At 46.5% G+C, this 25686-nt stretch overlaps 1 long non-coding RNA gene across 2 annotated transcripts in view; it reads left to right on the top strand.

Moving 5' to 3' along the window:
• LOC107984281 (uncharacterized) overlaps positions 1-25686 on the top strand; it is a 67711-nt gene that overhangs the window by 33692 nt on the left and 8333 nt on the right. Inside the window, exons 5-10 of one of the 2 annotated variants that reach the window (NR_186705.1) lie at positions 287-405; positions 1483-1584; positions 3743-3938; positions 4034-4125; positions 5610-5772; positions 12416-12481. This is a non-coding gene — a long non-coding RNA (uncharacterized LOC107984281). The remainder of the gene's footprint in view (positions 1-286; positions 406-1482; positions 1585-3742; positions 3939-4033; positions 4126-5609; positions 5773-12415; positions 12482-25686) is intronic. The other variant, NR_186702.1, reaches the window with a different exon arrangement.

Consider the following 25686-nt stretch of genomic DNA (forward strand, 5'->3'; position numbering starts at 1 on the left):
AACTTCGACGACTGCATCCTCTCTGCAGAAACTGTAAGCGGTTTTAATTATGTTTAAGGCAGATCAAACTTATTTCAGAAAAGTATTAGCTCAAGACTAGGCATAGATTCCCTAGAGAGCTGCTGGCTTCAGCTCCTCCTTTCCAACAGAGCTGCTTTTTTATTATTTTTGCCATGATTCCTACTGTTTCTCTTTATTAATGCGATACTGAACTTTCCTCCAGAAAAGCAAGAGATCCTTAAGCCCGTTTCAACTCTATTGTTGATTTGTTTTTATAAATATGCAGCCACCCCAGCATGCTGGGAGAGCCTGATGTGCTCCACGAGGAGCCCCCAAAAGCCGAGGGGAACACAGGACACTTCCCCGAAGGCACAGGGGCCTGGTCCTGCCCCTGGGCCACTCCAGGTGGGTCAGAGGGAGGATGAGCCAGACAGGTGGCTTCTAGGGGTTCAGCCAGAGTCCGTGTGCCCATTCCCACTGGGAACATGTCTCCCAGGCCAAGCTGGGTGTGGAGTTGAATTAAGTAACAGCTCAAGCAGGGGTCAGGAGACCCCCGACCAAGGTCTGCCCCAAGGCTGGAGGGGAGGCAGAAGGGGGCTCTCCTCCCAGGTCCCCAAGGGTGGGGCCAGCGGGGGTAGGGGGAGGTGGCACAGAGGAATGGAAGATGGCCATGAAGCCTGCCCTGGTGTGCACGAGGGGAATAGGGGTGATCTCAGGACATGAAGGTTTTCTGTGTAGCATTTAGTGAGTTCGAGGTGTATACCCCTGTGTAACCAACACCCCAGTCAAGGTAGAGACCTTTTCTCGAACAGGTATTTGCACACCCATGTTCATAGTAGCATCATTCACAACAGCTAAGAGAAGGAGACAACACAAAATGTCCTTGGATAGATGAATAGATAAACAGTGTGGCACATCCACACAATGGAATATTCACCCTTACAGATGAAGGAAATGCACACACATGCTACAACACGGATGAACCTTGAAGACGCTAGGCTCAGTGGTATCAGCCAGACAGAAAAGAACACAGAACGTGTGGTTGTCCTTACATTCGACACATAGGATTGTCAGATTCATGGAGACACACAGTAGAATAGTGGTTGCCAGGGGCTGCTGGAGAAGGAAGCAGGAAGCTAGGGTATAATGAGGACAGCATTTCAGATCAGGAAGATGAAAAAGTGCTGGAGACAGATGGTGCCATGTTTGAACTGCAGCTAACTGGAATCCCACCGTATACTGTCCTGAGTCAGGTTCCCTCGTCCAACAGAATGCTTTGAGATTCAGCCTTGTTGTCTGTTTCAAAAGTCCAAACATTTTTGATGGCTGATTAATATTCCATTTTAAGAGCATGCCACAGTTTCTTCATTCATTCTTTTGTTGATGGACGTTGAGTTGTTTCCGGCTCTTGGCTTTTATAAATCAAGTTGCTGTAGACATTCTTTCTCAGGCCTCTTTGTGGACAGGCATTTTGTCTCCCAGGTGCATGCATGGGAGGCGATGGCTGGGCAGCTGTACATCCACCTTTAGAGACACTATCGGGTTTCCAAAGCGGCTGCACCATTTTACACACCCACCAGCCAGGTATGTTGCCCATCATCCTCAACAGCATTCAAGGTTGCTATTCCTTTTTATTTCAGCCCTGGTGGGTGTGAAGGGTGGTCTCGTGGTGGTTTTATTGTGCATTCCCTGGATGACTGATGGTGTGGAGCACTTCCTGGCTTTTGCACATCTTGGTGATGTGGTTGTTTGCTCCCTTGCTCATTTTTCTCTTTCTTTTCTTTTCTTTTTTTTCATAGAGAGGGTTTTCATGTTGTCCAGGCTGGTCTGGAACTCCTGAGCTCAAGCAACCTGCCCACCTCAGCCTCCCAAAGTGCTGGGATTACAGGTGTGCGTCACTGTGCCCGGCCCCCACCTTGCTCATTTTTATACTGTGACCTCCTTATTGAGTTGTAGGAGTTCTGTATATTCAAGAAACAAGCCCTCTGTCAGTTCTACATGTTAGGAATATTTTCTCCTAATCCATGGCTTTTCATTTTCTTAGTAGAGACTTCTTTTAAGCAGCAAGGGATTGATTATAGGGTATTAAGTAGCTTCAGGATGTTTGGAAGGAAGTTTAAAAGGCTGAGCTCTCAGGAACAACTTCCAGATGTGGACAGCAGAGCTGGCCCGGAGGCAGGGTGGTTGCCACACAGCTGCCTCCAGAATCACTCTGCTTCTGTCATAGTCAAGAAGCCTCCCCTGTCTTTTGTGTTTTTAAACTTTTTATTCTGACATAATTTTAGACGTAAAAAAAGAATTCCAAAGATAGTACAGAGGGTTCCCATATGCCTTGACCCAGCTTGACCCCCATAACATCAGCCTCTTATGTAACCATAGTAGAATCGTCAAAACTAAGAACTTAACAACAATTCAACACTGGTAACTGAACTATAGACTTTATTAGGAGTGCACCAGTTTCTCCACAAACATTGGTTTTCTATTCCAGGATCCATTCCAAGATACCATATTGCATTTAGCCATCATAGCTCCTTAGTCTCCTCCAATCCATGATCATTTCCTAGATTTTCCTGTTCTTTCACGACTGACTCAATTAATTTTTAATTATGTCCATGAAGCTCATAAACTTAAAAAAAATACCAACTAGTCCTAATAGTTTTAGATTACTTAGGATTTTCATCATATCTGATCATGTCATCTGTGAAAAAATAATAGTTTTACTTTTTCCTCTCCCATCTTTATGTCTTTCTTTTTTTTTTCTTGCCTTATTTCACTGGTTACCATCTCCAGTCAATGTTGAGTAGAAGTGGAAAGAATGGACATTCTTGCCATGTTCTGCATCTTATGGGAAAATCATCCAGGCTCTTGCCATTAAGCGTGATATTAGCTGTAGGTTTTTCATAGATGCCCTTCAGTTCATTGAGGAAGTTCTCTACCAGTCTTCATTTGCTGAGAGTTTTCAAAATGAATGAGTTTTCAAAATGAGCGAGTTGAATTTCACCATGAATGAGTTGAATGCTTTTTCTTTGTCTCTTGAGATGATTGTATGATTTTTCTCTTTACTCTGCTAATGTGACTTACAATTGATTTTCAAATATTAAAACAATCTTGAGTTCCTGGAGTAAACTCATTTGATCATGATTATATTTTATTTCTTACACATTATGGATTTGATTTGTGAAGGATTTTTGTTTCTGTTCAAGAATGATATTGGCCTATAATTTTTTTTGCTCTTTCATTATTCTCCAGCTTTGATGTTGGGTTTATGCTGGACTCATAAAATATATTGGGAATTGTCACCTCTTCCTCTCTTCTCTGAAAGAATGTGTAAAATTGGTCTTACTTATTTCTCATATATTTGGTAGAATTTACCAGTGAAGCCTTTGGAGCCTGGAGTTTTCTTTTGGGGAGATCTTTAATCACAGATGCAATTTAAACAACAGATATGGGGCTGTTCACATTTTCTATTTATATTGTGTCTATTATAAAGTTATGTATTTCCAGGAATTTATCCATTTCCTCTTTGCTGAATTTGTGGCATAATGAGGTTCACAATATCCCTTTACTCACCCCAATATCATTAGGATCTATAAATGTCTCCCTTTTAAAAAAAATTCTGATATTAGTATTTCATATTTCCTTCCTTTTTATTTGTTTGGGTCTGGATCAGTCATGCTAGATATTATACTTTTCTTTTTATTTTTTTTCTTTTTTTGAGATGGTGTTTTGCTCTATCACCCAGGCTGCAGCTCCCACCTACCAGGTTCAAGTGATTCTCCTGCCTCAGCCTTCCAAGTAGCTGGGATTACAGGCACATGCCACCACACCCAGCTAATTCTTGTATTTTTAGTAGAGACGGGGTTTCACCATATTGGCCAGGCTGGTCTTGAACTCCTGACCTCAGGTGATCTGCCTGCCTCGGCCTCCCAAAGTGCCAGGTAGATATTATGGTTTTCTATTACTGCATAACCAACTATCCCAAAATGTAATCACTTCAGGCAACAATGATTTGTTATTTCTCACATTTCCGTAGGTGAACTGGACATCTCTTCTGCTGGTTCCATCTGGGTTCACCCATGGGTGGGCCCCACTCTGCAAGAGGGTCCATAGGGCTGGACCGTCCAGGTTGGTCCCACTCACAGGTTTAGCCCTTTTCACTGTCTCTTGTAGCCTGCCATCCTTCTGTGGGTTAGATCTTCTTTCTTACATGGTGGTCTCAAGAAAGAATCCAAAAGGGCAAAGGCAGGAGCCCCAAGACCAGCTGAGGCCCAGGCTCTGAACGCACACAGCATGACTTCTGCCACATTCTGTTATTGACCAAGGCAAAGTCACAAGGCCAGTCCTCATGTAATAGAGTTGAGAAATGTATGGGAGATGTGGCAGAGTTTCATTGCAAAGGGTCATGCCTTTTTCAAAGGAAGAATCTGTGGCCATGAAACAATTTATCACGTTCCACAATGTGGCCACAAATTATTTATTTCCTTCCCACATACACCATATTCTTTCTCCCATTCCAGTATGGCTAAAAGTCTTATCCCAGTTAGGGCACTTAGCTCAAAGACCATAGTGCTGTGATCAACATCAGGTCCATCTGGACATGTACACATGGCTCTTCTGGTGTGATTCTTCTTGATCCAGAAATCTGTGAACTAAAAAGCCATGTTACCCCACAACAGGGCCAGGATGACCACAACAGTCACCCCCATCTGAAAGGAGAGGAACATGAGGCACAATGGAGGTCACTGGTTCTTACCAATCCTAAGCTTCAGAAGGGCCCAGGTATTCAGATCCCCCCACTCTAGAGGAAGAAGATATTCCTTGATTAAGGCACAGTTATGCTCTCAGGAGGGGCTTCCTAGTCCTTTTTTCTCTCCATTGTTCTCTTGTTCTATTCTCCAAGGATCTTTTATTTTCCATCAGAAATGGCCCATGTTTGAAGATGAGCATCTTTTCCTGTTTCCAGCCCATAGGAAGCTGGAGGCCCAGAAGTGTCTTTTAATTTTGAATGATATCAGCCCCTTTTAGTGAAAGCTGGTGGTGCTCTTATTAATACATTTCTCTCAAAAATTTTATGAGTCTCCTATGAATCTTATTGGAGCTTGAGGCTTCTCTATGCACCACCACCCCCACCCCACAAAAAAAGAACAACTGTAATTCCTTTCAAGACAGACCCCTCTTCACTTTGGATATGTCAGGCTCCTATGAGACAGTGCTCCATGGGTTCTTAGGAAGCCTCTTTCCCCTTGTTGAGAGGTTCCCTGAGGCACTGCCTTCAGTCTTTCTGAGGCCTCAGCAAAGGATCCCATGAGCAGACCCTCAAATTAGTCCTTTCTTTGAGGCCATTTCTTCCGTTAGGGATATTTTGCTGACTGTTGAAACCGAAAATGAGAAATACTTCCATTTTTCAACGAACCAATCCTGACACTTTTCTGTTCCCTCTGAATTCTGCTTGCAAACTAAATGGATTTTGGGTTTGTTTTGGTTTTGGTTTGGTTTTTAGCCCATCTCTCTTTTCCTATATATTTTCCTAATTGGCACTTTCAACACTCTACTAAGAAATGTTTTCATCCATATTTACAAATTATTTGGGTACATTTTCTATTTTCCAGGTTACTGCTGGCAATGGTCCTGCTGGTGGCTCTGTCCCTGCTTCATTCAGGTTGCTCTTCTCCAGCCTCCCATGGTCCCCTCCTCACGGCTCTCCCAGTGCTTCCTCAGCACCTTTCCAGCTTCCACCTGATGCCTGCTTTGAAAACCAGGTCAAAGTTTCAGGTTCGTGTTAGAACAGCACCCAACTTCCATTTCAGTAATGTGTCACTACATAACAGACCACCACGGTGCTTCAACGGTGATGCCTTGCTGTTTCTCCCAGTTCTGTGCTTGGCTGGGTAGTTCCTTACTCACGTGGTTCCTTCAGCTCGAGGGTTTGCTGGGTGGGAGGGTCCAGGATGGCCTGGCTCACCTGTCCAGCTGCTGCTTGCTGTCGATGGGGGCCCCACAGTTCCCTCCTGTATGGTTTCCATCCCCCAGGAGGCTTCCTTATGTTCTGGCCTCAGGGCTGTGCATCAAGAGGGTGGAGACAGGGGTGTGTTGGCTGGAGCTGGGCCCCCGAGCTCACACAGCTTCATTTCTGCCAGTTCCTACCGTTGGTCAAAGCAAGCCACAGGGCAGACACCTCCAAGGGAAGGGGACGCAGTCCCCATGACAGTTACAGCAAAGTCACCTGCAAAGGGAGTATGAGAAGACTTTTCAAGATAAACTTAGGAAGGCGTCTACCACACCAGGTGTTGATTAATTTCATGGGTCTTTCTAGGTCCTGGTTGAACCTCAGTGTCCCTATTCTTTGTAGCCATGGCTTCACCTTCTCTGGCTCCATGACACAGAGTGTTCACGAGGGACATCGCTTCTAAAAGATGCCCTCTCTCCTGTACAAGGCTTGGAGTGGTGTAAAATTCTAATATATAATTCTCCAAGGGAACTGCCAAAGCCTTTTCTGTGGGAGTTTGTGCCATGGTGCCACTGCAGGGTAGGGTCATTTTGAGGAACAAGGCATGTGCTTGTCTTGCACAGAGCAGCTGCCCTGGACCAGCGTTCCTGGGGGTCAGCAGGCATCTCACAAGGCTGTCCCACCGCCACTGCCTCCACTGTCCCACTCTCACCGCTGACCTCCCTCTCTCCCATTTCCAAGCACCTGCCTCCCTTTCTCCTCCCTGCTTTCTCCTTTCCCTCTTCTTAAGGGAACTCTTGAGAACCTAATCGGCAGTCTTTCAAGGGATCTGTCCTAGAGTGGGCTGCAGAGCCTGAGGAGCGAGGCCATTTGGAGTGTCCCAGGCCCCCGAGGCCTCAAGGCCATCCGCCTGGCTGCAGTGCAGCCCACAGATGACCTGGGCTCATGGAACCAGCCAGGAAGGCCACCGTCTCCGGGTTCTGTGTCAGTGTCTGGGGTGGCCCACACCCCAGCCCGGCACTCCTGCAGTACCCGCTGGCTCGTTGTGTTCCTGGGCGCTTCTGGTCTTGCTCTCCTCGGGAGGTGGGCACCTTGCCAGCACAGGGCCCTGGGTGTTTCCAAAGGTGGGAGACAGGCGAGGAGGCAGCACTCGCCTGGACTTCCCTGGAGTCCGCCCGGCCCATGCAGCACCCGGGGCTCTGCAGGGGACCCCACTCCAAAGCAGAATGAGACACACAGGGGTTTTCTGATGGTTCTTTCATCCCCTCAGCTCCTCTTTCTTCAAATCGCCTTTAACCTCAGTCAGAATGCCAGTCTTCGCCAGGTTGGCCCAGTGCCCAGCACCCTCGCACCCACGCAGAGATTCTGGCGGCACTGCTGAGGCAGGAGTTGGTCCTCCCAGCTGTGGGTGAGCTCTGGTGTGAGCTTTGGTGGTCGCTGGGCCCCACAGACCCTACTCGCCCAGAGCAGGGGCTGCCTACATCATGAGTGTGTGAGCCACAGTCATGGCCAGAAAGAGCCCACTCCGGAGAGACATGCAGCCTCTGTTCCCCAGGCCCACTGTGGGGCTCCTTCAAACATGCAGCCACAGGCTTACCCCTAAAGCCCACTGGTTAGGGACATGGCGTGGCTGTGGCTGGAGGGCTGGGGCTGGGGCTGGTCCCCGTGTCCATGGGAGGTGGAGGCAGGTTCCTGCAGCCCAGCTGCCACGGTGTGCAAGCTGCAACAAAAGCTTGGGTGTTTCTTCAAAAATGTCGATGTCAGACAGGACAAAATGTTGTGAGGACGTTCCAGATAAAAGAAGACTAAAGAGACATGGCAATTAACTGCGATGGACTGAATCCTGGACTAAAAGAAAAAAAAAATGTTAGAAAGGAGATTACTAGGTTAATTGACAACAAAGGACTGTGAATGAGAGAGTGCTGTGTCCGCATTACACCTCGGAGCTGGCGACTGCACTGAGGCTGTGTCCCTAATGCTTTCCTCTCAGAAAGTGTATGGGGATGAAAAGCCACAGTGCGTTCATCTCCCCCAACAGTGGCTCAGAAAATACACAGTTGTAGGCGGAGAAGTCCATGATGACAACATTAACGGTGTCAGTAACAAATCTGGGTGCAGGGTCGATGGGTGTTTGCAGTATTGTTATTCTTGCAGTGTTCCTATGAGTTTGAAATTCTTCCCAAATAAGACTCAATGGTTTTAGTTTTACTAAATGGTTATGTTTTCTGGGGCCGAGACATCCTGCATTGCTCCCTGGCAAGCTACCCCATGGGTTCCCGAGGACTGTGGAGTTGCAGGTGGCCATGCCACAAAGCAGCCCCTCCACAGGGGACTCAGAGCCTTGGCCTTGGCGGGTGGCTGCCGAACTGCCCCAAGACTCAAGACAGGGGAGGGGAAGTGAGGGGCACAGTGTGCAGGGATGTCCGCGGATCTGCAGACTGCTCGAGCTCCTTCCCTGGAAGCCGTGTGTAGACACTAACCTCTTCTTTTTTGTCTTCCTGGCAAGGCAGAGGCAGCTATTGAACAGAGTGGGGCACAGCACTTCCTTAAGTGTTTGGAACCGGGGAAGCTGAAGACCTGTTGTCTCTCCTCCTTGGCTCCAGAGCCCTCCGATGCCCTTAACGTTTGGATTGATACTCCTCGTTGGGCCTGTCTTCAATTTGGTTTCAGGCACTTTCCAATAAGTGCATGAAGTGCTCTGGGGCTGAGGAGAGACAGTAAAGAAATCAATACATGTTCATCATCATCGCGGCACTTATGAGGGCCGGCTGTCCCTCGGGTCGGCCCACAGAGGTGCATGCTCGCCCGGGCTGCCCTGCTGGTTTTGTGTTTCCCCATGGATGGCCGACCAGTCTCAATAATGATCAATATCACTTTATCAATGCATCACTATTAACCAGGGTGCTTTAGCCGTCTCGCATTCCTGTCTTGGAAGAGTGCCTTCCAGACATTGAGATTTACAGTCCAGGGCTGCATATTCATTTCCTTCCCTCTCTGGTGGGGTTCCCAGTCAGGAGGCCCCAGAAACCAGCCCTGCCTTCTAGGAGTTTATAGTCTGGTAGGGTAAGGGGATGAGGGGGATGGTGGGGAGAAGCAGGGGGAGGGGAGGGATCATGAGCATGCCCTGCAATTACAGAGCTGGTTTTGGGTTTTAGAAGTTTATGCCAGACTTACTCTGGATATTTTCTGACTTGTTTTGAGGAAGGAGGGTGGTCCCCCTGACCCCAGGAGCTTGAATAAGCATCCATGAGTTCATATGTGAAAACCAGAGTAGTCGTTATACGTGGACAGCAGTTGACAGTTTCCGAAGCTTGTGCCTGTGTGGACATTGTTCATTTTATGGAAACTCACAGTAATCCCAAGAGATGGGCAGAGCAGATGGCAGCCTCCCCACTGTAGAAGAACAGGGAGCTCTGGGCCCACAGAGCAGCAGGGGCTGAGCCAGGCGGGTCTCACTCCTCCTGGCTGGGTCACCTCCTGTGTCACCCTGGCTCTATTTTCTGGAGTCAGGGGTTGGACGGGGCCACAGTCAAGGTGATGTGCAGCCTGCCAGCAGCCCCAGTCCCTCGCGGGCAGCACAGCCAGGAAAGCGAACGGGCTTCCTTTTCCCTCTGCCCCAGCACGGGAGGGCATTCAGGGTGGGAGGGTGAGACAGGAGATTTCTGTCCTCGCTCTCTTTCCTTCAAGTCTTCAGAAAGTGCCCCCCATGTTTGTAATAGGGTTTGGTTATGTTTGGTGCACAGACCCTGCCAATGTCCTTTCCCCAGAGCCCTTTGTGTCCAGCAGTGGGTCACACCCAGGCCTTATCCACCGTCGACTCCCTTCACCCTCCAGCCCCTGGGACCCCACCATCCCACTTCATATTGTGAAGAGCCCTCTAAGGAAAATAAGCAAGGCTCACTGCCTGCACCTTCCAGGAGGGCATACGGAGCCCCAGAGCGAGTGTGTGGCTTGCCCAAAATTGCCAAGTGGCTCCTGGCTCGCCACTTCCCCCAGCCAGGCCCTGAGAGGTCGCTGCCCAGGGTTCCCTCATGGGACTGTCTGTTTCCAGGCTAAGAAGGCTCGCTCACCTGGGTAGCGGTGCTGCCCTTCGAAGGTGTGTGGAACAGGAACAGTGTGCATGAAAGAGCTGCTGTGCTCCAGCAGCTGGCCTGGGCTTCTCATCCATCTCCCCTGGGGTAGCTAAACCCCTTTCTACTGCCTCTGTCTGTCAACTAAACCCTGAACCCCCACCGGAGCCTCCTCTCACTCTGCCACCGCCCTGGTCCGTGCCAGGGTCTCTCTTCTGGACCCTGCCCCCTTCTCCCGGTGCTGGCCATCTGCAGTCCCACCCCCTGAGGCCCATGCCAACACGGGTCTCCAGGAGCACAGAGGGTGCATGCTTTCTGTTTAAAATCCACCACTGGCTTCCAACCAAGCCCCATCCTCAGCAGGGGGAACAGGCACCTTGGACATCCCAGTCCCTTCTCCCCATCCCTATCCACATGGCCCCTGTCCCCCAGGGCCTGGAAAGAGTCGCACCAATATTGTCTTCTGAGGGGTGGGAAAGAGGGGAGCTTCCTCCTGGCCTCAAAATGGACAGTGTTAGGAAGGTCACCGGCAGGGAGCAGGAGCCTGTGATTCCAGTAAACACCTCACTCGAAGGGGCTTTATGGAGACAAAGGAAACTTCTCCTGGTCATGATGTGGGCTTTTTGACAAACAAGCCCTGCCCCTTAAATAATTGTCCAGATCCTGGTGACAGCAGATGCACCCCACAGCCGCTGCGAGCTGCTCACTTGACCTGTGACCTCTGACTTCATGTGAGTGAGCATGGGCCACGGTCTGCGGCTTCGGGAGGACCTGGTTATGGGATGCTATTGACGAGGCATTTATAAATATTTAATCTTCACGTTAAAAATATGGGACAGAAGAACCATTAGTCGCCAACAATAAAAAGGCTCTCTCTGCTGATTGTTGGGGCAAAAGAAGATCAGGGTAGATTTTGATCAGGCTAAACGACAGTACTGTACGTTGAAAAAAATGTAAATAAGTGCTGTTTCCAAGGCAGTCATAGCTCAGACCTGTGGTCAAGGATCTAAAACTGGCCTGTCGATTCCACGGAATCTGTGCAAAGTACAGACCATTCATACAAAACAGAATGGATGGTTTATTTACGCCCAGTGCCATTAAGAATGGAGGAGAAAAGTTCAGCCCAGGATAAGAAGCTTAAATCTTGATTTTTTTCCCTTCCCCCTCTCAAAAGAATGGGTTCCTTGCATTGTAAATTATCCAACCCTTGTCCTTGGGTTGGCAGCTACTTCAGGCTGGTACGGACATTGCATAATCTTAAATATTGATTCTTGTTAGACCAAAAAAAAAGTCTGAGAGCACCGAGCTCCCCTGGTCTGCATGTCCAGGAAATCGCCTTGGCTATAGCTCACTTGTGATGGCCCCTGGCCTCCTGACAGCGAGATCCATTCTGATTAGAAAAGTTCTAAGAGAAAAAGCAATGGTTAGGATCTCCTCTCCATCACAGCAAACACGGGATCGACTTCTGCCTAAGTGTGAGTCCTCAAGTGCCCCCAGAGCTTTCTGGGCAGAGTAAACCCAAAATGATGCAAAGCCCATCATCCACTCACTCCCTGCAAGTGAAGCTCCCCCGCTTTGGGCAGTGCTCCCTGCCCCATTGAGGCCTCTCCACACTGGGTGATGGGTGCACGCCTCTGCTGACGCTGGAGGGTTCCCCACTGGTGCTCCTTCCCCTTTGTCTGTCCCCAAGACAGTGTGGGGCAGAGCTGGAAGTGCTGATATTGTCCATCCCAAGAAATGATGCCTTCATAGGAAGAAACTGATTTTCATAAAGCCACACTGTGTGGTGTGATGTTTACAGCTCTATACGGAGTCCCCCAGGCACCGAGATAACTAAGGCTTGGGTTTTAGGAGAATGAAGAGAATGGTCTGTGTAAATCCGTTAGGGTTAAAAAGGAGCCACTTCTCTCTCCCGATGTACAGACCACCTTAGCGCTGGTGGAGGAAGACGGCCAACATCACAAAGAGAACCTGTGGCCATTTCCCGGGCTCCCAGTTTGAGAAGCGCGACGCCACTTCGGTGACTAAATGCAGAAAGAAACCCGAACCATAAAGTGTGTCTTCAGTTTGGCAACTTGTGGTACAATTTCATGAAATGCAATTAATTTTTCTAGTCCTCTGTGGCTACAAGTTTCATTATCTATTATCTAACCAGTCAACTTTGGTTACCTGCCAGTAGCATCCACGGGAAAGAGACCTCTTGACTGATTTCTTCAGTTTCATGTTGAAAAGCCCTTCCCCTGAAAACTGTTTCTAGTTACTCCAACTGTCAATTGAATTATGGTGAAAAACCAAGAGTGTTTGCAAAACGGAGTTATGTGTTAAAATGGTGCAAGGTGCTTCTCATTTAATGCAGATTCGTTTTCCCACTGGTTTCTTCTTGCTGTGTGTTCTGCAGGTCTTGGAAGAAACCATCACACCGAGGTCATTTCTGAGCACAGCGTGGAAGCTCCTATGTTTGCAGGCAAGTGATTGATTGAAGTTTGGCTAAAAGAAAGCAACAAACCGGGGTCTCGGACTGTGTGAAATTGTAATAGTTAAAGCCTCCTCCCAGTGACCAATCACTGCTGACCACACTCTGCAGGCCTCCTGCTCAAACCAGAGATGCCTCATTGAATCCTCAACTGTTATTTGAAGCCACTGGGTTGCCAGGATAGTAAGGGGCCAGTTCCACAGGGAGCTTCAGGGCCTGGAACAAAACCTAATGGTCTTGCCCAGTGCCCTTCCAGACCCAATGGGCTGTTTCTGAAGTTTACCTCAATCTACAGAGAAGGCAAATTACTATTAGATGGCATAGCAGATCCACATTGTGCAAATCAATGGCTTATTTTCAGTTGAGCCTTCTCTGTTCTTTAAAGCAGGCCCCAAAAACCTCTGCTATGGTCTGAATGTGTCCCCCCTCACCAGCCCCAAATTCATATGTTGAAACCCTAACCCCTAAAGTGATGGCATTAAGAGGTGGGCCCTTTTAGGAGGTGATTAGGTCATGAGGGTGGAGCCCTCAGGAAGGAGATCGGTGCCCTTATTATGAAAGGCCTCAGAGAGCTGCCTTGGCCCTCCCACCCTGGCAGGAAGGTGCCATCTGCAAACCAGGCAGAGGAGAGACAGTAGATCTGCTGGTGCCTTGACCTTGGACTTCCCGGCCTTAGGAACTGTGAGAAATACAATTCTGTTGTTTCCAAGCTACCCTATCCATGGGATTTTATGATAGGAGCCCTAACAGCCTAAGACAGCCTCTTCTGGCAAAGGCTGTTTGGGGGAATAGCAGTCACAGGTCTGGATGTCAGAGTGATAGTTCATATGTATTGTCAAAGCCTCTATTTCCCACCACGGCCCCCCCCCGACAGCCTAGCTCCAGTCCCTACCCCGATGAGTCTAAATGCATGAACTTCTGCCAGACAAAGAGTTCTGGTTAGGGGCTAGCCTTTAGCTGCTACTTTCTTATTTCTCAGCCTTAAAAAACGAAATCAGCGTTCCTCCTAGGGTTCTGAGTGCCTCACCTTTTATCTCTGTGATCTGCCTCCTCCTGAACCTGCCAGCCCCAGAGCCACAGCAGGGGTGGCTTAGTCTCTCATTAACCAGGTTTCCCTCCCATCTCTGCTATTCCTAAAGGTACCATTCAGTGGCCTCTAATGCTCGGACTATCCCTGAGCTTTTATAAAGAAGAAAAATCTTATCAGCAGCTTTCCAGTGTTTTCGAGAACTATTTGTGTTTTTTGAGATCTATTTTCTATTTTTATTCTTTATCTCTGTTTCTTCATCTTTGAGTTCCTCCAGCGACCCTGGCAGGAGGCCGGCCATTGCTAATGATTTACAGTACCTGGGCTTCATCAGTTGCTCTATAACTTCCTCGTTAGAAACTTATTTTTGTCAAGGAGACACTTTAGCTGCCCATAAAAACTGCCTTTGGAATCGAAATTCCTCTGAAACTCACACAAATGCTTCATTAAATTTCTTTGCTTCTCTGTCTCTTAATTTCCCCACATGGATCAGAACTCGATAGGAGATCGTCTAAAGCCACCCAGTAGCCCCAGAGAGGTAGCTCAGGGCCCTCCAGCACCTCCCATGAGCACAGCACTTTACAGTTTACAAGCCTCTCCTTGCTCTTGGCAGCAGCCCTCCAGGGCAGGCAGTGATGTCCTCATCTTAGATGAGAAGTCTCTGAGCTGGCATTTCCTAAGGTCTCTCTGCTCTTCTGAGGGTGACTGGACTCTGACCCGGTCCCAATTCCTCTGCAGTCCATGAGGCAGCTGTCCTGGCTCTTCAGAAGGGATGGACCTGGGACCAGTCACTTGGAGGAGCCAGAAAGGAGGGGCTGCAGGGACTGAACAGCCTGGTTGCCCAAGGGACCCAGAGCAGAGGGCGGTTGTGGCAGGTCTTTCTCCTTTCCGAGGCCCTGAGCAGCTCTCTACAGCGTGGCTCGCTGCACCCCCAGACATCTTCCTGCCACATGGAGGGGTCCCTGGAGGCAGGGCTGACCCGACGCATCTTTGAAGCTCCCCCCATCACCCACATTGATGGGAGAGGCCTGAGCATTGCTGCCAGCTCACCCTGTGTTGAATGATGGTCACACCCACCCTACATCTCCCGGGAAGCCAGCACCCCCTCCCCTCTGGGGTGGGCACCCCCTCTGCTGTGCTCAGAGCCCGGCTCCTGCCCACTCCCTGACGTGGAGTGGTGAGGACAAGCCTTTCCCATAGGCACTGCCACATTTGTGGGGTCCTCTGCCAGCCACCACCACTGCCTCCCCACAGCCACCACAGCCAGCATCCCCACCCTCCTGCCGGGCCAGCCGGGACGGGACTCAGCCATGCAGGAGACGGCCCCTTCCCTGGCAGCTTGTGAGCCCCCGGGGGCTGGAATCCTCCTGTGGCCCCGAGAGGCCTCTGTGCACCAGGCACAGCCTAGAAAGGTCTGGCCTTGTGGGGGTTCTACTGCACCCCTGCCTGGATCCCAGGCATCCCCGGGTGGTGGCGTTGCAGGTCCTGAGCACTCTGGTCCCTGCTGCCCACACCCACTGCATGGCCAGGAGAGGCTGGAGAGGCTGGGTCAGTGTGGCCACCAGGGCCACTGGATTCCTCGAGGCTCCTCCCTCAGGCTGTCCCCGCCCCACTGGACAGGACCAGGGTGGCACCTGGCCAGGAAGAACTCATTGTGATGGCCTTGTCCCGGCTTCTGCCATCTCCGCACCCTGTAGCCTGAGTCCCACCCTGCCTACACCGTCAGCCTTGGCCCCACGCAGAAGCAGCCACTTTGATGTTAGAAAGTAGATTCTGGTGCCTGGGCCTTGGCTTTGCCTGGGGCAAGTGGGACCCACACTTGTCAGGGTGGAGCAGCTTTTCCAAAAACTGGCACTGGACAGAGGCAGTGAGGCCACCACTGGAAGGCAACGCCGGGGAAGGGTCGGGCACTGAACATTGTGTGCCTGAGCCCAGTGGCCCCGGAAGGCCCAGGACATTTTGTCCACAGGCACTCAGGGCTGCCTGCACAGGCCCCAGCTTGCCTTGGGTTTTGGAATATCCTCGGCTGCAGGAGAATGTGGATACCATCATTCACTCCATTTTTCCCAGAAGCGTGGGCAGCAGGGCAAGCAGTGGGCTTGGGTCCAAGCAAGAACAGGAGCGTTTGCCTCCCCTGGCTGGCAGGTCCTCCTCCTGGCTCACAGGGCTAGCAGGGAATGGGTGAGCAGCTTAGGTTTGGGCCAAAACCCACCGTGCTCTCCACCCTGCTCCTGTGTTGAAGGAAGGGTTACCTTTTCTTTCCGTGGGTGTTTACATGCTGTATTTACTTTGGGGAAAAGAAAACTAGCATCACCCTATAAGGCCACCCTATAAGGTGAACACTGAAGGTGCAAGTTCTTTTCCAGCCAGCAAACAAGGCAAACATCTAGCTTAGTGGAAGGAGCAGCACTACCCAGGTAGGAAGCTCTGTGGATGGAGGGGCCCGATGAGGCTTCCTGGGATTTATTCTGGGGCACGTTAATGATGAGACGCTGCTTGCTGGGCCTCAGCCTGGCACTTGCAACGTTCTTCATCTTTTTCTTGTGATCTATGTCTTCTCTACATATTCTCTATATATTTCCAATGTATACATTGTGAACATTTTATCCTAGTCTGTGGCATGTCTTTTTTTTAATTTAGAAAAAAAAAAATTGTGGATATGGTCTCTCACTATTGCCCAGGCTAGAGTGCAGTGGTGCAGTCTGGCTTACTGCATCCTTGACCTCTGGGCTGAAGCAATCCTCCTGCCTCACCCTCCCAAGTAGCTGGGACCACAGGTGTGTGCTATCACACCCTGCTAATTTTTGTATTTCTTGTAGAGGTTGGTTTTCTCCATGTTGACCAGGATGGTCTCAAACTCCTGGCCTCAAGCTATTCGTCTGCCTTGGCCTCCCAAAGTGCTGGGATTATGGGCGTGAGTCACTACACCCAGCCATAGTGTGTCTTTATACTTTATGGTGTCCTTTGATGAGAATTTTTAAGTTTTTATGAAGTCCAGTTTATCAGTTTTTTTCTTTCATTGTTAGTGCTTTTTATGTCCTGCTTAAGAAATCTTTGCCTATCCCAAGTCTATAGAGATGGTTTCCTATGTGTTTTAGAGATAGTTTCCTGTGGGTTTTTTCCAGAAGCTGAATAGTTTTAGCTTTTCTCTTTGGGCCAATTATATATCTCAAATTAATTTTTTCATATGGTGAGATGATATGGTTTTGGCTGTGTCCCCACCCAGCTCTCACATCTTCAATTCCCATGTGTTGTGGGAGGGACCTGGTGGGAGATAATTGAATCATGGGGACTGGTCTTTCCCATGCTGTTCTCATGACAGTGAATGAGTCTCACGAGATCTGATGGTTTTAAAAATGGGAGCTTCCCTGCACAAGCTCTCTTCTCTTGTCTGCCGCCATGTAAGACATGCCTTTCACCTTCCACCATGATTGGCCTCCCCAGCCACGTGAAACTGTAAGTCCATTAAACCTCTTTCTTTTGTAAATTTCCCAGTCTTGGGTATGTCTTTATCAGTAGTGTGAAAATGGACTAATATATGCAACATAAGTGTCAAGGATTTTTTTCCCATATGGGTGTCAGTCGCTTTAGAAAATATTTTCTTTTTCCATTGAATTCCATTGGTGCCTTGTCAAAAATCAAATGACTTGATATATGTGAGTCTTTTTCTGGACTCCTTATTCTGTTCCAGTGATTTGTCTCTCTAACCTTATACCCGTATCACATTGTCTTAATTATTGTTGCTTTTTAGCAGACACAGGATTCTTGGAATTTTCCATTTCATCATGTGTCTGTTTTGGCAAGTTGTGTTTTACAAAGAATTTGTTCATTTTTTTTCTGTGTTGTCAAACTTCTTAGCATGTGTATTTTTACAATGTCCTCTTACTATCCTTTTAATGTTCATCAGGTCTATAGCGGTGTTCCCTTTTCAGCTTTCCTGATCAGTCTTACTGGAGATTTGTCAATTTTGTTGATCTTTTCAAAGAACCAGCTTTTGGCTTTTGATCCCTTCAGTGAACTTTTCCACACTGACGGTCACTATGACCTTGGCTCTGCTAATCCCCCAATCCACATGAGGATGGGTGGACTTAAGTGACCTCTAAGGACCCTCATTACTCAGACAATCCCTGGCTCTGTGAGTCTGTGTCTTTCTTGCTCCCAGTTAAGGTCAGGATTAGGACTTGGAGGGTGACAGTTTTCTATCAACTACAGAAGGAAATTCCAGCTGCAGGCCTGCGAGAGGAGATGCCCCATGCCTGCCTCCTGACATCACTCTGCTCTTGCGGCCATGTTGGTTTCTCTGTGGCCCCAGGACCTTAACACATACTGTTCTTGCTGTGTTTGCAAGACTCACCCCCAACCCCAACTTTGCTTCACTAATTCCTTATCAGTTTCCAGAGTAAACCAACACATGATTTCTGGAAGAAAGCCTTCCAGTTTCTCAAACCCCCTCATTCCTGCTGCTGGCCTAGACCAAGGAAGGCCTTCCCAATTCTGTGTTCTCAAAGGACTGAATAGGTTTCCTGCAAAGCACCTACTGCAATTGCTTTTAAATTGTTATGTAATAAATGAAGAGACTTAATATGTACCTGAATGGGGCAACTCCATATTTCATCAATAGCCCCCATACTATAAACTCTGTACAGCATCAAACTGATTCTAAAATTAGACTGAGTGCAATGGCTTATGCCTGTAGTTCCAACACTTTGGGAGGCCAAGGTGGGAGGATTGCTTGAGCCCAGCAGTTTGAGCCCAGCCTGGGCAACATGGGGAGATTCCATCTCTACAAAAAAAAATGAAAAATGAGCCCAGGGTGGTGGCACACACCTATTGTCCCAGCTACTTGGGAGACCGAGGTGGGAGGATCACTTGAACCCAGATTGTCAAAGTTGCACTGAGCCATGATCACACCAGTGTACTCCAGTCTGTACAACAGAGCAAGACCCTCATCTCAAAAAAAAAAAAAAAAGGAAGTTATATGGAAGAGTAAATGAACAGAAATAGCTGAGAAAATATTAAGATTCTTAGAGGAAGTTTGCTCTTCTAGGAATTAACATATTTTTTAAACTATAAGAATTAACAATAGATGGAGTCTAGGCAGGAATTCTCTAAAAGGTCAGTAGAAGGGAATTTAAAAAGAAAAAAGGAATTTAGAAATGAATAATGAGATATTTAAAATCGGTAGAAAAGATGAGCTGACAACTCAATATATGGTTTGGGGATAATTTGTTCTCCATTTGGAAAAAAATAAAATTAAATTTCTCCGTGTATAAAACATAAAATTAAACCCTAGAGAGATTAAACAACTATAGGCTAAAACTATGAAAACCATCAAAGTACTAAGATAAAGTGTAAGATAATTTTGTTTTTTAATCTAGGACGGAGAATATTATCCTAAACAAAGAACTAGAAGCCATAAAAGATTGACTTACAGATGGCTGGGGAGGGGTGGGGTCGTTGCACAGGGAGAGAATCCCAAAGCAAAGTCATTGGCATAGAGAAGATATTTGCAGCACATAAAGAGGCAACCACCATCAAATACAAAGAGCTCCTGCAAATTAACAAACAAAAGACAACCCAGTAAAAAATGGGCAAATGATAGCAACAGGCAGTTCACAGAAGAAATACAAAAGCTACATATATGTGTGAGAATATGCTAAAATGTGTAAGTAATTAGCAAATGTGTATTAAAACAGTAAGATTTTATTATCACCAATCAGATTAGCAAAAATTTTGACTGAAAGTATTCTCACTAGAATGTTTGTCCCACAAGAACAGTAAATGTTTGTCTGTTTTATTCTTGGCTAAATTCCCAACACCCAGAACAGTGCTTGGCACCTAATAGGCACTCATTAAATATGTTTTTCATTTCTTTAACTTTGCCAAAATATACATGACATTTACAACTTTTTTGAGACAAGGTCTTCCTCTGTCATCCAGGCTGGAGTGAAGTGCTGCAGTCGCAGCTCACTGCTGCTTCAACCTCCCAGGCTCAAGCGATCCTCCCATCTCAGCCTCCCGAGTAGCTGGGCCCACAGGCATGCACCACCTTGCCCAGCAAGTGTTTTCTTTTCTGTAGAGACAGAGTCTCCCTGTGTTGTTCAGGTTGGTCTTGAACTCCTGGGCTCAAGTGATCCTCCTGCCTTAGTTTCCCAAAGTGCTAGGATTATAGGCATGAGCCACCATGCCCAGGCATTTATAATTTTAATCATGTTTTAGGTGTCTGGGTGAGAGGCATGAAGTACATTTACACTATTGTGTAATCATCACCTCCATGAATCTCTAGAACTCCGTTCATCTTGGGGACAGAAACTCTTCCCCTTTAAACAATAACTCTCCATCCTCCCCTCCCCAGCCCCTGGCAGCCCTCATTCTACTTTCTGTCTCTATAAATTTGACCACTCTATATATCTCATATAAGCAGACTTAGACATATTTATCCTTTTGACAATAAATATTTTTAAATGAATGAATATCTAGTACAGGCGAAGGTGGGGTGAAATAGGGATTTTCTTACATGTTGGTGAATAAGAACATTTGACCGCACCTACCCAAATGTAAAGTATACATTTAACAAGCCAAAAACCCCACTTCAGGGGCTCTTTCCTGAAGAAACACTGATTAATGCACAAATATACAAGTGCAAGGGTGTTCTCTGTGGCACTTTTTAAATATAAAATTTATTAAAATAGGAACTAAGTACTGCAACATTCAAGAACCATAAGCATCAAGCCCCATGCAATTTACAAGGTGAACCTACCTGAATCCTGATCTGAAGTTCCAGCAGGCTCCCTCTGACCTCCTCCTAGTCACTATCTCCCTGCTTGGGTAAGCTCAACTCTGCCTTTTCACACCATTGATGAGTTTTGCCTATTTTTAACTTGATATAAAGGGAAATCATATAGTGCACTCTCTTTTGTGTCTGACTTCTTTTGGTTGACATTATGTTTATGAGATTCATTTCATATCAATGCATGTAATGATAGCAAATTTATTCTCATTATTTTGTACAATATTCATATTGTATGAATATGACACAATTTTATTTAGATATTTTGCTACCCGTGACCATGTTCACCATGTTTCCAGTTGGTGGCTTTTAAAAATACTGCTGCCATTAACTTTGTTATGCATGTACTTTAGTGAATACATGTACTCATTTCAGTTGGTTGTATACCTAGTAGTGAGATTGCCAAGTCATAATGTTCAGCTTTGGTAGATGCTACAAAAGAGTTTTTTCAAGTGCTTCTACCAATTTACATTCCCACTAATTCCCACTAGCAATGTGTGAGACTTCCAGTGGACCCAATCTTTGCAAAAACATGATATTGTTTGACTTTCTCAGATTAGTCATTCTGGCAGAGATATAGTGGTATCACTTGATCTTTTAATTTTAATTTTCCTGACGATTAATGAAGTTTAACATCTTTAAGATGTGAATTTACTATTTGGATATATGATTTTCTTTATGTTTCTTGTTCAGGTTTTTGGCCATTTTTCTGTGAGACTGTCTGCTTTTTCTTGATGATATGCAGTTCTTTGTATTCTGATATGAATTCTTTGTCAGATATATATCTTGCAAGTGTCTTTCCCCACTCTGTGGCTTGTCTTTTCATTTTCTTAATATATCGTTTTGAAGAACAGCATTTCTTGATTTTAATGTCATCCAATCTATCAATTTATTTTATGGTTAAAGTTTTTTGTTTTCTGTTTAGTGTATCTTTGCCTGTCACCAGGTTACAAAGATATTCTCCCATGTTTTCTTCTAAAAACATTATTGTTTTATCTTTCACATGCAGCTAGAAATCCATCTAGACTTGCTTTTTTATATGGTGTAAGGTAGGGGTTAGTTTTATTTTTTTCAAGAGATAAAGCTGATTGACTCAGCACCATTTGTTGACCCAGCCTCATTTTGTCATATGTTGGGTCTCTTTCTGGACTCTCACCCATTTTACTAAACTTTCAGGGTATCTTTGCACCAATAATACATTGTTTTAATTAGGATAGCTTTAAAATAAGCCTTGCTGGGTGATGGTCTAAGTTTTCCAGTTTTATTCTTATTGAAGATTATGTTGCTATCCTTAGCCCTTTGCATGTATCTGTAAATTTCAGAATCAGCTCATCAAACTAAACCTGCTAACATTTTTATTAAGATTGTGTTTAATCTATTGGGGTAAATTTGGGGTAAATTTAGGTAATTACAATAATGAGTTTTCTAATCCATTGACATGGTATATCTCTCCAACTACTTAGATTGTTAAAATGTTTTTCTCAATTATGTTTTGGGGTTTTCACTGGACCAATTTTGAATAAATAAATTCCATTTATTTCTAGATATTTGATGTTTTGCTGCCATTGTGGGGGTATCTTTTTTTTTTTTTTTTTTGAGACAGAGTCTCACTTTGTCACCCAGGCTGGAGTGCAGTAGGGCAATCTTGGCCCACTGCAAGCTCCCCCTCCCAGGTTCATGCCATTCTCCTGCCTCAGTCTCCTGAGTGGCTGAGACTACAGACACCTGCCACCACTCCTGGCTAGTTTTTTGTATTTTTAGTAGAGACAGGGTTTCACCGTGTTAGCCAGGATGGTCTCGATCTCCTGACCTTGTGATCCGCCCATGTCGGCTTCCCAAAGTGCTGGGATTACAGGCGTGAGCCACCACGCCCATCCTGTGGGGGTATCTTTTTTAATGGTAGCTTTAAAATTTTTCATTTTCTACTTATTTGTTACCATAGCACTTTTTAATAATAGCAAAGAATATAAAATTTTCAACAGAGGACTGGTTCCATAAATGTGGTTTCATATGTACAATGGATTATTCTGCAGCCACAAAAAAGGATGGGGTGGATCTACATGTACTGACAGGGAACTTCATTAAACGGTGTAAGTGCTAATGGGGGAAGGATGATGAGAATAATATAAAAATTATTGTCTCATGGTGTTACAACTATATGTAGATGTCTGTTTGTTTTTAATGTCCTTCAAACAAGGTCCAGAAAGACTGACAGCCCATTGGTAATAGTGCATCTGCCTGCAAGCTGAAGGGGTTTAGGCAGAGTTTGGATAAGGAGGATTAACCTTTATCTCCAAATACATGTTCATTGCTTTTATTTGGGAAATAAGCCTGGATTACAAGAAAGTAAAAAAAAAGGGGGGGGATTATTACCTGTTTAATGCCTGCCTTTTTTTTTTTTTTTTTTTTTTTTTTGGTGAGAAGGAGTCTCGCTCTGTTACCCAGGCTGGAGTGCAGTGGTGCAATCTCGGCTCACAGCAAGCTCCAGGGACTACAGGCACCTGCCGCCAAGCCCAGCTAATGTTGTTTTTTTTTTTTGTATTTTTTTAGTAGAGATGGGGTTTCATCCTGTTAGCCAGGATGGTCTTGATCTCCTGACCTTGTGATCCACCCGCCTCAGCCTCCCAAAGTGCTGGGATTACAGGCATAGCCACCGCGCCTGGCCCTAATGCCTGTCTTTCTTCTGGCTCAGGACTGGCCTACCACAAGGTCTCCACAAATACTCAGGATGGAGCTGGCATTGAATGACCCACTTGGCCTGCACAGAGACTGTCAGGCCTAAGTCTGGAGCTCTGTTTATGTAGTTCTATAATTTTAATGAATGTATATTGTAAACTAACACAAGAACTGTGCACTGTGGAGCAAAACCATGCTAGATAATGAAAGAACTGGATTATTAATGGACCACTGTAGTGTGATATTGAGCCATGTGCCTCGAGCACAGAAGCAGATGCCTTGGTCCAGGGTCCTGCTTCTGTTATGTGTATGGACCCCTGAATCAGACTAGTGAAGCCTGCATACCCCTTCCCCAGAACACTGTTTTCATTGTCCACAAAATAAAATACATACAATCACAGAAAAAATTAATTCTATTAAATAGTTAGCAAAACATTACAAATAAAATTTGAGATATCATTGTATATGTGCTTCTTCATTATTCATGCATTAAACAAAATCCAGGAACAGTTGAGCTAATTATTACCAGAATCTCCAAGTCACGATAACCATAAACAATCTGATACTGCTAAAATGACTGTGGCTTCTTGCCTATACTCATAAGGAAATGCTGAATTTTATAGCCGTTAGTGAAAATAAAGTTAAATTTTTGTTTTTCATTCAAGTTTATGGACCCTAGGTTAAGAACCCTTGCCTTGGTTGAAGACACAGTAAGGAACACTGTTTCTGTGAAAATGTGGTTTGCAAAAGCTGGGGTTCTGGGGATGCAGCAATAATCCAAGCAGACCAGCCCCTGTCCTCACGGGGCTTCCCTTCTCATGGGGAGACAGTGCAGAAGTTAATTAAGTCAAACCTGAATTTCATTAAATGGTGTAAGTGCTAAGGAGAAAAATAAAATGAAAGGGAGAGGGGAAGGTATATGTGTGGTGTTTGGGGTGGGGGTTAGTTTTAGACAGGCAGGCAAGGCTGCCTCCCTGGGCCGGGGGTGAGACGTGAGTTGGGGAGCACAGCAGGTGCTTTTGCAGAAGAGAGCTCCAGGGAGAGGGAACAGCAAGCGCAGAGCCTCAAGCAGGAGCTTCTGCAGCAGCAGAGGGAGGGAGGTGTGGCAGGGTAGTGGCTGACCCTCAGTGTCCTTGTGGCCCTTGGAAGGTCTGTGGAGGGGGTATGACAAGAGTGGTATTCCTTTCATTTTAAGGGCCCCTCTGGTTATGGTGTCAAGACACAGAGAGATAGAGCTGCAGGGCAAGGGCAGGAGTGAGGGGACCAGTTAGGAGGCTGCCACCATCCGCCAGGGACGCACTGATGTGGCTCAGAGCAGGGTGGCAGGGGTGGCATCTGCTGAGACTCCTGAGATCCAACTGAAAGAGACAACAAGTTTTAAAGAAATGTAAGAAAAAGAACTGTGTTAAAAATAGTGGAACTGACTATTCTGAAATGTTTAGAAAATAATGAAACTTCTTTTTAAAAAGCCATCTGGAAGGATTTTACTTTTCCTTCATGTCATTTGGAAATGACCTTCGAGAAGCTCTGTGTATGTGTGTTCCACAGAGGACCAAGAGTGGCCTCCAGAGAGCCCTGGCAGAGTCCAGGCCGGGGAGGGGGCAGGCTATCCCACCTGGGGAGGGGGCAGACTATCCCACCTGGGGACAGGGCAGGCTATCCCACCTGGGGAGGGGCAGGCTATCCCATCTGGTGCCATGTGGGGCCGGGACCTTGTGGAGAGTGTGGACCTGCCTTGGTCTCACCCCAGGCAAGAATTGGGAGCCATGATCTCCACTTTGGTGGTCTGGAGATAAGGGGTCAATAGGGGCCTACAAGACCACCTTCCCACTCCAAGGTGTGTGGACACCAAGCAGCCCCTCCTGGGGAGCAGGTGGTGGTGGGGTCTTGGCCAGCTGAGGACAAAGACTCAGGAGGGCCCGGGGATCCCATGTGCCAGCCAGCCTGCAGCATGAGTCCTGGCCATGTGCTCCAGGAAACATGGTTTCCCCAGAACATCAAAACGCTTAAGAGTGATTCTTCATGAAAGATAATGTTCATTTTTTATGCTCTGATAAAACCACAGGGCTTTTTAATTTTTTGTAACAGCCTTATCGAGAAGTAATTCACATACCATACAATGTACTGATTTAAAGTGTGCAATTCAGTGGTTTTCTAACATATTCACTGAAACAGGGCAACAACTACCACAGTCCATTTTAGAACATTTTTATCACATCAGGAAGAAACCCATACATACCCCTTGGCTGTCACCCCCATCACCCCATGTCCCCCAGCCCTAAGCAACTACTCTTCTACTTTCTGTGTACATAGATTTGTCTGTTCTGGACATTACACAAATGAAAACATATAATATGAGTTTCTTGGTTATTGACTTCCTTCATTCAGCATAATGTTTTTAAGATTCATCCATGTCGTAGCATGTTTCTGCATGTCATTCCTCTTATGGTTGAATAATAATTCTGTTGTATGGATGTACAATGTTTTAAAAATCCATTCATGGCCGGGCATGATGGCTCATACCAGTAATCCCAGCATTTCAGGAGGCTGAGGAGGGAGGATTGCTTGAGACCAGGAGTTTGAGAGCAGCCTGGGAAACATAGCAAAACCCCATCTCTTTATAAAATACAAAAATCAGCCAGGCGTGGTGGTGCATGCCTGTAGTCCCAAGTACTTAAGAGGCTGAGGTGGGAGGATCGTTTG

The sequence above is a fragment of the Homo sapiens genome, chromosome 10 (assembly GCF_000001405.40).
Source record: "Homo sapiens chromosome 10, GRCh38.p14 Primary Assembly".
Classification (NCBI taxonomy): Eukaryota; Metazoa; Chordata; class Mammalia; order Primates; family Hominidae; genus Homo; species Homo sapiens.